Source organism: Homo sapiens, chromosome 11 (genome assembly GCF_000001405.40).
Source record: "Homo sapiens chromosome 11, GRCh38.p14 Primary Assembly".
Classification (NCBI taxonomy): Eukaryota; Metazoa; Chordata; class Mammalia; order Primates; family Hominidae; genus Homo; species Homo sapiens.
The window spans coordinates 86,403,309-86,416,802 of NC_000011.10; the positions used below are offsets into that span (position 1 = coordinate 86,403,309).

Here is a 13,494-nt window from a genome sequence, read left to right on the forward strand (position 1 = left end):
TTTTCTGATGTGTATGTTTTAAACATTTTCCCAATTCTTTTTTTTCTTTTTAATTTTGTTTCTGCACCATTTAGTGCACAGAAGTTTAAAATATATCTTTTCTGATTTACCAACCTGTCCAAGTCCCCAAACACCATGTTTGGGAATGTCAGTCCATGATTACATTTTCATTTTGAAAAAAATATTCTTTTAGAAGAGTAAAGAATGATTTAGAGGGATAAGATTAGCAGCAGAGGAAGAGGTGTAATAAAATGGAAAAGTGTAGCACAATTTAGCAGATCAAGGCAGTAGTCTAGGCAATCTGTTTCCAACAAATGACCCTAAGGCCTCAGAGGGCCTTAAGAGCATATCAAAGGCTGAGAGTGAGGTAATATGGGTGGGACTCTGGGCTCTATTTCCTCACTTCCACTGGAGGATGTGTGCTGTTTTTCTGTTTTATATTATTGGGATTTGAGTAACATTTGTTTAAACTAAGAAGGATAGGACTTTCATTGTTTAACAGTTGAGTATAACTCGTTTGGGGAAAGGTAATAAGGGTATGAAACAAAGATCAGATGGAAAGCTTTAGCTTTGTTGGGGATTAGTTAAGGGAGGTTAAGAAGGAGATGTCAAAGATGACCCCAGATTTTGGCTTAGGTAACTGGGAGAAGATGGCACCATTATTCAAAATAGGGACTACTATAGGAAGTGCAAATTTGGCTGGTGCTGAAGGGCATGTAGTGGTTAGTGAGTCTGTAAAATTTTCACTCCGAGTTAGAGGATTAAAAAAAATACAAATGAATCCTCTTGGATCATAAGAAACCAGATTGAGACATATTTCTTATTACTTCCTCATGTCAGTTGCATCTGACAGGTTATTTAAATCAAACCTTTAGGGAATCAGCATTCGCCCCACCCCAGATTTTGAGGCCTAAGAGAAGTTATTAAAAAATAAAGTGTTCTGCTTATAGCAATATGGTGGTCTAAATAATCTGAAAAGGTCCTCTACTGAGAGCCAAATCTAGTCCACCATATATTTTTATAAACAGTTTCACCGAAACACTGCTATGCCCATCCATTTGCATATTATCTGTACCTGCTAGTTGTGTCAGGGACTGTATGGCCCTCAAAGCCTAAAACATTCACTCTCTGGCTGTTTTCATAAAAAGTTTTGCAACCCCTGCTCTAAAGGATCTTATTTTCATCTCAGGCTCCTGACTTCTGACAGATGGAGTTGGGCTAAAAATGAAGTCAGAATCCAAAATTACAAAGACCACATGGAAATAAGCTGCCACATAATGAGAGCCATCAGAAACAAAAGATGGAAGAATTGAGCTCTCAAGGATTGTGGATCCTGAATATTATAAAATACAGAATATAGAATAAGATGTTTAAAATCTTTACATAAATTAAAAGAATGGAGAGTATGAACAAGGTATAAGAAATTAGAAAACATGACCAGTGTGGTCAGAGTCGAGCATTTGCATTTTGGAATTGCAGTAAGGGAGTGTAGACTTATACAATACTTAATTCATTGGTTATTCAGAAGACACATTTTATTACTTTTTCCAAATGAATAGAGGTTTGTAGTGGGGCGCTTTCTCATTTTATGCTGTGGTTCATTTAATGTTAGTTATTTGGTACTTTGTAATTTGCTGAACCTTCTTTTCTAGCTTGAGTACTTTTACAGTAATTGTTTTATGTATACTTGAAGACATTGTATACTACTATTCCTTAGATGTAAATTTCTAGATATTTAGATATTAGCTAAACCTTGTTAAAATAAGTTGTTAAAAGCTTTTAAATCCTCACTATTTTTTTCTTTGAGAGAGATATTAAAAATCTTTCACCATGATGGTATATTTTTCAGTAATTACATCAATTTTTGCTTCTTAAGCAATATTAAATTCTACATGTCTAGGATTTTTTTTGGTAGATAGTTCCTTTTATCATTATGAAATATTTTCCTTCATCTCTACTAAAATCTTTTGCCTTCATTTCTGTACTATGTAATTAACAGTGCAACATCTGATTAGTATTTACCTGGAATAGCCTTTTAATGCCATTTTAAGAATTTTTGTGTGTGTTTTATTATTTCATGTGTGTCTCTACTAAATAGCTTATATTTGGATGTTTTAAAACTCAATCTAGACTTTAATTTCAGTTGTAATTATTGGTATATTTGAACCTATCTTTACTGTCTTATTTTGTATTTTCTATTTACTGTGCATTTAACTTCATTATTACCCCTTTTCTGTTGGACTGATCTCATTTCTTTAGTATGCTTTGAATTTCCTTTGACCATGTTTCTTCAGTATGCTTTCAATTTCCTTCAAACTGTATCCCCTTCCAAACCTGTATTTTTTTTGTCTAGAACTTTTGTTCCAATTTGGTTTTAAGTGTTAAAACATTTTGTATTATTTTATGGTCAATGATTAATTTGGATTTGTCAACATGTTTTACCAATTTCTTTGGTCACCATCATTTCTTCTTTTTTCTTTTTTTTTTTTTTTTGCCCAGGCTGGAGCGCAGTGGCGTGATCTTGGCTCACCGCAACCTCCGCCTCCCACGCTCAACCAATTCTCCTGCTTCAGCCTCCTGAGTAGTTGGGATTACAGGCGCACACCATCATGCCTGGCTAATTTTTGTATTTTTAGCGGAGACAGGGTTTCACCATGTTGGCCAGGCTGGTCTCGAGCTCCTGACCTCAAGTTATCCACCTGCCTCGGCCTCCCAAAGTGCTGGTATTACAGGTGTGGGCCGCCATGCCTGGCCTGTTTCTTATATCCCTGTCCTTCCTCCTAGGTTCATTTTTCTTCTTGCTAAAGTATATCCTGTAATGGTTCCCTGTCTTTTCAGTACACTTATTCTTTGTATTGCTTAAAATGATTCTTACTGTGTTGTCGCTCTTGAGTGCTGATTCTTGGTTCACAGTTATTTTCCTTCAGCATTTTAATGATATTGCTCCATTTTCTCCTGACAGTTGTCCTGATGCAACGTCCGAATCAATCTGGTTGTCATTCTTTCTTGTAGCTTTTAAGAATCTTTCTTATTTCTTGATGTTCTGCATGACTATTCTTAGGAGTCATGATTTTCTGGAAAATTCTTATCTGTTATTTTCTAGAATATTGTTCTTTGCCATTTCCTTTATTCTAAAAATTCAGCACTTCTATTAAATGCATGTTTGAGCTTCTGAATCTGTTCTCTATTTCTCTACTTTTAAATATTTTCATTCTTGGCCTGGCGCGGTGGCTCATGCCTGTAATCCCAGCACTTTGGGAGGCCGAGGTGGGCAGACCACTAGGTCAGGAGTCCGAGACCAGCCTGACCAATATGGTGAAACCCCGTCTCTACTAAAAATACAAAAATTAGCCCAGCATGGTGGTGTGCACCTGTAATCCCAGCTACTCAGGAGGCCGAGGCAGGAGAATCACTTGAACTTGGGAGGCAGAGGTTGCAGTGAGCTGAGATTGCGCCATTGCACTCCAGCCTGGGTGACAGAGCGAGACTCTGTCTCAAAAAATAAAATAACATAAATAAAATTAAAAAATAAATATTTTCATTCTTCGAGCTGCTTTTTAGGTGATACTATCTGTCCTATTTTCTAATGAATTAATACTAGTATTAATATTAATACTCACCCCTAATTCATCTCCCTCCACCACACTGACCATAGGCACCTTCCACCTGAAGGACTGCACTGGTTTGTTTGCTTGGAATGTCTTTTCCATCAGATATCTACACTGTTGTTCTCTTACTTCCTTCAGGTATTTACTCCTATGTCACTTCCTTGGTAAGAACTTCCCTGGCCATTCTCTTTACAGTTTAACACTCCATTCCTCCAGCATTGCAAGGCATTTATCATCATGGAACATACTATAGAGTGCACTTATTTATCTTGTCACTGGGCTGTCTATCCCCATCAGAATGTTAATTCCATGAGGGCAGGGACTTTTGTATGTGTGTATTTTGTTCTTCATTGCTTCTCCTGTGCTTAGAACAGTGTACATGGTAAGCACTCAATACATTTCTGTGGAATGAATACATTTCATCCCCATTTCACATGACTGGTAACTGGGACTTTGCAAGATTACACAGCTGGTCTGATGTCAGTCATCTTGCAAGCAAGAAAGCTGGGATTCAAACCCACCTTTATCTGACACAAATTCAGATTCTGTGGTACATATTCTTAACCTCTATACATATAGCTGTTTTGAAGTAAACCACTGAAATATTTTTCTTCATCTTATACTTGCCTCTAAAATTATTATTGCCCTTGAGGTCAGATTGTATTAAACATTAATTAATGTTGCATTGTTTTTATAGCTTATCATATCCAAGTTGTCTGAAACACGACAGTGAGATGAAGCCCCAAACATCTCCAGCTTGCCAGGATCATAACAAGGCAGGACAGGTACAGTGTTTCCAAACAAATAAGTCCCATCAGAATCTTATACTGATTTTTGTTTCTCAAAGAGAGTTCTGGGAATCTCTCTTCCTTAATTATATGAGTATGGCTCAAGTACTCAAGTACTCAGGCTCAAAACTAGACTGTGATAAATCTATCTACTAGTCAAGATGTACTGGTAAACAAAAAAAGAGTTGAGAAATCCCTTTCTAAGTTTCAGCTGCTATAAATACTTCTGATGAAGTGAGAGTTCAGAAGATCCTTTAGAGTATTTCTGGGGTCCACTCTGCAAATCTCATTTTGCTGTCACTAATATATCCATTAATAATAGGTTTCTTGATATACCTAGCCTTTGGAGAGCTTGTGAAGGGAATGCGAAAGCAAAAAGGTAAAATGTAAAAATTTATTTGTCCTGAAATTTGGGATTGTAGGAAATGTGCTATGTATGTTTGCAACGAGCACAACGAAATTCCCTGTTGTACTACAGTGAGGAAAGGAGGAGAGAGATAGAAGATGAGAGACTCATACAGCAGTATCAGATGTTAAAGGATCAGGAGGCTCTCTTCAGACACCAGGTAGTCCAACACCTCGATTAGTCTTTAATATGGGGCAATAGAACATGATTATATAATGTAATTTATTATTATTTTTTATTGGCGCAGGGTCTCACTCTGTCACCCAGGTTGGAATGCAGTGGCACAACCTCTGCTCACTGCAGCCTTGACCTACTTGGGCTCAGATGATCCTTCGACCTCAGCCTCCAGATTAGCTGGGACTACAGGCACACGTCACTACACCTGGCTAATTTATGTATTTTTTGTAGAGACAGGGTTTCACCATGTTGCCCAGGGTGGTCTCCAACTCCTGGGCTCAAGCATCCAGAGGCTCCAACTCCCGCCTCTGCCTCCCAAAGTGCTGGGATTACAGGCATTACCCACTGAGCCCAGCCTATAATGTAATTTAAAAATGTTCCATCATATGTCTGTACTGTGGGATATCTAATCACGTATTTACTGTTAGACTAAAACTTGCGTTGAAGTTTTCACTAATAATAAACAACACTGGGATGAATTCCATGCAGTCGAATGTTTGCACATATCACTGATTTTCTTTAACCTAAGGTCTGAATTTTAAAGGTGGAATTATTGGATTTATGTTTCTTTATTTCTGATAAAATATAACTCTGGTGAAGGCTTTTACCCTTCAGATTCATGTCCTATTTCAAGCAAAGACAGAATGGCACTTTTACACTTGCTGTATCCAGATTTATGTGGTGTCTAATAATTGACCCTGCTGCCTGCCCTTTCCTGCATTTGTGATGAATTCTTCCATTCCTTAGATCCCTCTAGTGGTGGTACCTAAAGGCCAAGAAAAGGAAATAAAATACCTTTCCCAATCTACTTTTATAAATCTATAGAGATATCAGAAAGTACCACTGCCTCCAAAAGGCAGGTTTCTACCATGGCTGGATTATTTTAATGTAATAGAATTAAAATTTTTGGGGGCTCCACTTCAATATGTAATTTAAAATTTAAAAATAAACTTTTTTTTTTTTTAAACAATAGATGAAAAGTCTGGCTACTAGAGAACAGAATCAGAAAAATGCTGCCTATAATCTTGGAGTTGCTGAAGCTATAAGAAACCACAAGAATGAGAAACCGGAATTTTATGTAAGTCTTTTAAAAATTTCTGTTGCTAACACCTGGCCCATCTGTGAGCCTTTGGATCCACTCCCTGTGTTGCAGGTTGTGCCTTATTTTTTATTTTTATTTTTTGAGATGGAGTCTTGCTCCGTCACCCAGGCTGCAGTGCAATGGTGTGGTCTCAGCTCACTGCAACTCTGCCTCCCGGGTTCAAGTCATTCTCCTGCCTCAGCCTCCCGAGTAGCTGGGATTACAGGCACCCGCCACCATGCCCCGCTATTTTTGTATTTTTAGTAGAGACAGGGTTTCGCCATGTTGGCCAGGCTGGTCTTGAACTCCTGGTCTCATGATCTGCCCGTCTTGGCCTCCCAAAGTGCTGGGATTACAAGTGTGAGCCACCATGCCCAGCCAGTTGTGCCATTTTTTTTAAGCAGCGGAGTTGAAAAGTGGGTGGTGCAGTTTGAAGCTTTCTTCTAGGGCAGGTGTTGTCCAGTGTCTATAGCCACACCACTCACATTCACTGTACCATTCCTACTAGTCACTGCAGGTCTTGTTAATTATGGTAATTCTCAACCAGGACGTGGGATGGGTGGAGAGGAGGGAGCAGTATACTACTAAAGTCCAGCCCAAGGACCTAAGAGAACCAGCAGTATCAGCATTGCCTGGGAACTTGCTGGAAATGCTGAATCTAGGGCCTCACCCCAGACTCCCTGAATGGGCATCTATGGTGGAATAACATCCCCAGGTGATTTGTATTTGCATTAATGTTTGAGAAACTCAGATTCAGATGGTGGTGAGCCAACTGCTTCACTGCTTGTTTTAATGTTTTCAATCATCATGTGCCTACCTTTATTTCTGCCTGAATCTTCCTCTTTATATATCACCATCTAGGTAGTCGACACTCCGGACATAAATCTAATAAATTATAATTTATTTATTCATCATCAAACATTTATTGAATTCCTCCAGGCCAGCCACTGTGCTGGTGTCTAGGAATACAAGGTTCCCTCTTCTGAAGAGGTCTCTAGTGGGAGAGACAGACACTTAAAGAGACAACTGTGTGGTATAATAAATGCGATGATAAATCTCTGAAAAAAGGGCACTATATGAGCAAAAGAAGAGATTCATTAACCTAGACCAGAGATCTGGAAAGACTTTCTGACATACAAGAGTTAGGTAAAGAAATCAAGGGAGGAAGAGCATTCCAGGCAGGGAAACAGGGAAGGAAGGAGAGAGCGAGCGAGCATGGGGCTTCTGAAATTTAGGCATGATCTTTCTCTCTCTTTATATATAAGCTCCAGATTATATTTATTACTGCTGTGTATCTCTTCTTTGATATATCTATACACATCTTAAATTTAAAAAGACCTAAACAGAACTTTTGATTCCCTCCTTAACCTGTTCCTTTCTGTCTTCTCATGTTAGTAAGTGGCATCACCAACCAGCCATTTTTGCACAAACCTGTATTTAGTCATGATCACAATATTCCTTTCTCTGTTCCTGACTTCCGATCATTTGCAAGTCCAGTTGCCTTTACCTCCAAAATGTATCCAATACCTGTCCAAATGTCTTCATCTTTAATGTTGCCACACTGAAAGTGTTGCCAAGCCACATTGTTATGCTCAACTTCTCCAATACTTCCCTTAGATTCACTGCTTGCATTCTTGCTCTCCTATAATTTATTCTCCACACACCAGCCAAAGTGATATTATAATATTGTTAACCAAAACATACTATTCTCCCATTTAAAACCTCCACTGGCCTCCCATTGAGTTAAAATGAAATTTAGACTCCTCACCTTCAACTATCAAATTCTACACGCTTTGACTCCTGCCTTCCTCTTGGTCACTATGCCTTCTCCTTTCCCTTGGTCACTATGCCTCAGCCACAGAGACTTTTTTTCTGCTCATTGAACATGCCTAGCTTGTTTCCATCTAGTGTCTTTGCGCTTAATGTTCCTTCTGTATGGAACACGGGTCTCCCTGATATTTACAGTGAAGGTGATTCATTTTCTCCATGGAAAAACCTTCCCTAATAACCAACCAGTTTAGCTCTTTTCCCACCCAGCCACTTGCTATCATAAGGGCTTCCTAGCACTTAGCACTATCTTAAATGACCTGATGTACCGTTTCTTGCTCATTGTCTGTCTCCTGCATCAGCATGCAGGCTTGATGAGTGCGAAGATCTCTGTTGTTGCTCACTGTTGGATCACCAGGGTCTAGAATGGCCAGGCCCACAGTAGGTATTCAGTTTGCCCTCCTTTCAGCTCCTCTCTGTCCTTGCATGATTTCGCATGCACTCAGAATTCCTTCTTCCTTCCATCTGGATGTTGTAAATGCTAACTCACAACCTACTCCAGGAGTCCTTTTTCATCTCTGTCTCAGCAATGGGATTCCAGTTGAAACTGACCCAATAGTCCCACAGACAGGTTTTGTTTTTGTTTTTGTTTTAAATAAACATAGAAATTGACCCTTTTGGTCTTAAAGCTTGAAACTTAACATTGTTTTATCTGAGTTTCTTCCTCAGAAAAGAACCACTAGGCCTTCCAAAAAGTGTCAAAGAATTGAAACTCACCAGATGATTGCATTCAGACAATGAGCCAGGCCCCTCCATTGACCATGATTGCTTCCTTATCCCTCCCGAATTCTGGTTTTCCCATACATAGTTTCAATTCTTCCCTGCTATATAAACCCCTACTTTTAGTTGGTCAAGGAGATGGATTTGAGACTGATCTCTCATCTCCTTGGCTACAGCACCCAATTAAATCCTTCTTCCCTGGCAATAATCATTGTCTCAGTGATTGGCTTTCTGTGCTGTGAGCACCTAGACCAAACCCCTGGTGTTTTGGTAACACAGCTCAGCTCAGCTTCATCCTTGAACACACTCATATGATTCTATGTGTTACCTCAACACCAGCTGGTCCGTGTGTTGAGGGCTGGGCAAATATTATAAATTAAGAAATACTTTCTGATTTATCTTAGTCTTCTGAATTATTAACCTTGTTTTTCAGTACTCTAGCATAAATGAATTGCTTCTCTTTCATTCTAGAAATCCTTCCTATTTGACAAACGGCCACTCAGTCCTGCGCTTAATGCTCTTAAGCAAGAGGAATATTCCCGGAGTCTCCTGAAACAAATGGATAACAGACAGGAAAACGAAATAAAGCAAAGACAATACAGAGAGTTGATGGACCGCCTGGAACAAGTGCAACTCACAGAGGAGTGAGTCCAGCTACACACGCTCTGACAAATGGATTTGGAATTTTCATGTGAAGTTACTTTTCATGTAGGATTGAATCAGCATTGGTAGTTTCATTAGCACACTGTAACCAACTGAGCAAACTAACCCAGTTAGCAGCCAGTACTGAAATGGGAAAAGTTCCCTCGTCCCCCTCGCAGGGCATGCAGTGGGGGTGTGGCTTGCTTCTTCAGTGCCCTGCTGCTCAAACCTCTAGGAGAGCATACAGATGGGCAGGCTGTGGGGCTCTGGCCACACGGCAGTATCTAGGGGTGAATGTTTACAGCTCCTGAAGCCCCAGTGGGCATGTGTTACAGAGTGCTCTTTTAGTTTAGCCATCTGTAGGTGGCTTGTGTTAGTCAGCGCAATAGACCCCTGTCTTATCACAAGGAGAGAGGGCTTTCTGTATCCGAGGGTTCTTGCCTTGGTGTACCAGAAGAATTGGATCACATGTGGGCTTGGAGAATGAGTGCAAGGTTTTATTGAGTGGAAGTAGCTTTCAACAGATGGATGAGCCAGAAAGGAGATGGTATTCCCCTGAGTCGGGCTGCTGTGCGGCCCGGGTTCCCCTCCAACCACCCCAGCCAAACTCCACGTCATTCCACTGGTTGATGGCCTGCTGATGTGCTCTGGACATCCTCTCAGCATCCAGCCACTTGTGTGTTCCTCTGCTGATGTGTTTCTCTCGACGTCCAGCCGCTTGTGTGCCTGCCTGCTAGGGTCTTGGGGGATTTTTATAGGCACAGGATGGGGGTGTGGCAGGCCAGGGTGGTCTTGAGAAATGCAACATTTAGGCAGGAAAACAAAAATGCCTGTCCTCATCTAGGTCCGTGGGCACAGATGGAACCCTAGCCAGGGACCATGTCCTAGGGTGGAGCCCTAGCCAGGGACCATGCCCTTTCCCCACTTCCATATCGTTTAAAGGGACCACGCTCTTCCCTTCCCAGCACTTCCCTTCTGTATCAGTACCACAATTTTTTATTACAAAAATGAAAAAGCTGTCATAGTTATCATTATGGTAGTGATGGTCAATCTGTAATTACTATAATATAGAGCATCATTTTGTATTGTTTTTGCAATCGCCAATACCAGTAGATGAAGAAAGGGACTCGTCTTGAGCAGCTGTTCTTAGCTATTAGATGTTCAAATGACCTCATGGCAAAGCTGAGGTTTTATTATAATTATGTAGGGGTGTCCCATGGAACCTGAGGGCAGGAATGTACAGGGAACATAGGAAGGACTGGAACCAGAGACTAAAAATCCATGTAGAGCGGCTTTCCCTCTGCTTACATACATATGCCTAAGGGGGCCCACATTTTTGCTGCTGAGATTGGGAGAGCAACTATGGAGGCCATTATAGTGTGAACAGAAACTCCTAAAACAAATAAGAAGCAAGTTTCTGTGATGAAAAAAATCTATTTCTATAAAATGTATATGTTCCATTATACTCACTTGAAAGATCATATATGGGTTCTTTAGAAGTTACATATAATAGAACCATAATTTTTAATAGGATAGGTAACTTAAGAGATTTCAAAATAAATCAGTTTATAGAATGAATAGTCACTTCCTGCTTTCTTATGTAGATTTTTAAAAGAACTGGTGGGTGTGGGAAGAGGTGGAGTGGTGGTGATGTGTCTGCTGTTTTAGTAGTAAGGCATTTGGACAATATGGTCGGTCACCTGCCTATACTTGTTTGTCCTGTGTTCAGCACATTGTTCACTAGCGTATGGAATTTTTTTTTTTTTTTAGATGGAGTCTCACTCTGTTGCCCAGGCTGGAGTGCAGTGGTGTGATTTTGGCTTACTGCAACCTCCACCTCCCAGGTTCATGCAATTCTCCTGCCTCAGCCTCCTGAGTAGCTGGGATTACAGGCACCCACCACCACCCCCGGCTAATTCTTGTATTTTTAGTAGAGATAGGGTTTCACCATGTTGGCCAGGTTGGTCTCGGACTCCTGACCTCAAGTGATCTGCCCACTTCAGCCTCCCAAAGTGCTGGGATTACACACATGAGCCACTGTGCCTGGCCGCCTATGGATTTGAATTACTCTTTTCTTTCTTAAAATGAAAGCTACCAGAATAAAACATCAATTTTTATTTACCAGACTCTTGTTCCTATTTAATACTTATTAAACATGTTTTGATGATGTTAATCCATATTACTAAAGACTGCAAAACTGTGGTCCATCTTCTCTTGTTCTTAACTGCCAGACTTGCTGCGCAAAGAGCGAAATTTTTAAAAGATAAGATGGAAGAAACACAGTGTTACAAGAGAGCTTTGGATGCACAGGTAAGGGGACAGACAAATATTATTTTTAAAATTATGCAATGCATCAATAACATCCTAAAATATGTGTAAGTTGTTACGAATATTTTTATGTGTTATGCATTTGGTAGTTTTTGTGCCCCGCATTCCTTCCTGTAAGATGCTGGTATTTTACCACATTACAGGGTTGTGCATAAAGCTTATTCCCTGGTAGAATGATAACCTGCATTATGTGTATCTCTGTTTAAGATAAAGAACAAACCCTCTCGGCTGCCCCCCTTTGAGCCAGACTCCTCTGAGCCCATCTTTGGTAAGAATGAGGGTGAACTGATGGTGGAAAAGCAAAAGCGAGAACAAAATTACATGAAACACCAGCTGGAGGCAGCTGCTAACCACAAGAGGAAAGCCATCCTGCATCAACTAGTGGACCAGAGGCGGGATTTGCAAATGCTTCAGAGGACACAAAGAGAGTAAGGAGACCCCTGATCTTTCTCCCTCCACTTCTCCTCACTTATTCCGCTTCCTTTATCTCTCTTTTTCCACCCTGTCCCTGCCCCTCATCTTTCTCATACAATAGTGGAGAAATAAGAATAATAGCTAACACACTGAGGAGTTATTTGTGCAAGGCATTGTTTTAAACTTATTACATGCTTCATCTTGTTTTATCTTAATTCATTATATGAAGAAAATGTTATTAAATAAATTTTTAAAAACCTCTCTTGACACTTTAGTGTTTTCCAAAGTGGCTGTACTACTTTACATTCCCAACCAATAGCATATGAGAGTTCTAGTCCTCCCCATCATTCCCAGAACTTGGTGTAATCAGTCTTTATTTTATTTTATTGATTGAGACAGGGTTTTGCTCTGTCACCCAGGCTGGAGTGCAGTGGCATGATCATGGCTCACTGCAGCCTCAACATCCTGGACTCGAGCAGTTCTCCCACCTCAGCCTCTGGAGTAGCTGGGACTATAGGCGAGTGCCAGCACGCCCAGCTAATTTTTAAACTTTTTGGGGAGACAGGGTCTCACTATGTTACCCAGGCTGGTCTTGAACTTCAGGGTTCAAGCAATCCTCCTGCCTCAGCTTCCCAAAGTGTTGGGATTACAGGTGTGAGCCACAGCACCCAGCCTGATCAGTCTTTTTAATTTTGGCTGTTCTAACAGGTGCATAGTGGTGTCTCATGCTTTAATTTGGATTTCTTTAATGACTAGTGATGTTGAACATCATTTCATGTGCCTATTTGCCATCCGTGTATCTTCTTTGGTTAAGGGTATAATGTATCAATCCAAATCTTTTGCTTATTTTATAAACTCTTTTCTTATTGTTGAGTTTTGAAAGTTCTTTATATATTCTGTATATAAGTCCTTTATCTGATATATTTGTAAAGCCTAAACATGCCTGAAAGGAAGATGTCTTTCCCACTGATTTTTTAAAAAAATTTATTCCCTTAGGTAAGCATTCAGCTCCTCTTTAGCTTCTGTTTTATAACAGCAGAACCACCATCACTTGTCCCATAGTGGGAAGCAAAGTGTGCTTTCCATAGCCAGATATGGGACCCTCTGTATTTGTTGCTAAGACTATTGCTACTTCCTCTTCTGCTTCTATCTGTTGGCTTCTCTAGTTATTTCCTAAACTTGGAGGGTTAAAGTGTCACTTTTAAGTTGTATGACTTGGGCCAGATCACATGTAAGGTCTCTGAGCCTTATTGTCCTCATATGAGAAAGAAGGATAATCACATCTGCCCCTCCTAACCTTACTGGGAGAATTAGATGAGATTATGTATGTGAGAGCATTTTCGGAAACTGTAAAGCTCTGAACACATCCCTGTTTCTGTATTGGTCAGATCCTTGTTTTCTATTTACATATTCTTTACTGGTTATGGCAGATTCTCTCACTTCCCTTATCTTTTCCAACTCCCTGGTCCTTCTCTGGTTCATCTTAACATGTGATCTCAGATT

General features: G+C 40.1%; 1 protein-coding gene across 2 annotated transcripts in view; it reads left to right on the forward strand.

The window, feature by feature from the left end:
* The window catches only part of CCDC81 (coiled-coil domain containing 81), a 48,220-nt gene that overhangs the window by 28,422 nt on the left and 6,304 nt on the right, over positions 1–13,494 (forward strand). For both annotated transcript variants that reach the window (NM_001156474.2, NM_021827.5), the window contains 6 exons: positions 4,306–4,393; positions 4,819–4,962; positions 5,953–6,057; positions 9,079–9,251; positions 11,481–11,559; positions 11,785–12,005. In NM_001156474.2, coding sequence (NP_001149946.1) covers positions 4,306–4,393; positions 4,819–4,962; positions 5,953–6,057; positions 9,079–9,251; positions 11,481–11,559; positions 11,785–12,005 — 810 coding nt within the window. The remainder of the gene's footprint in view (positions 1–4,305; positions 4,394–4,818; positions 4,963–5,952; positions 6,058–9,078; positions 9,252–11,480; positions 11,560–11,784; positions 12,006–13,494) is intronic.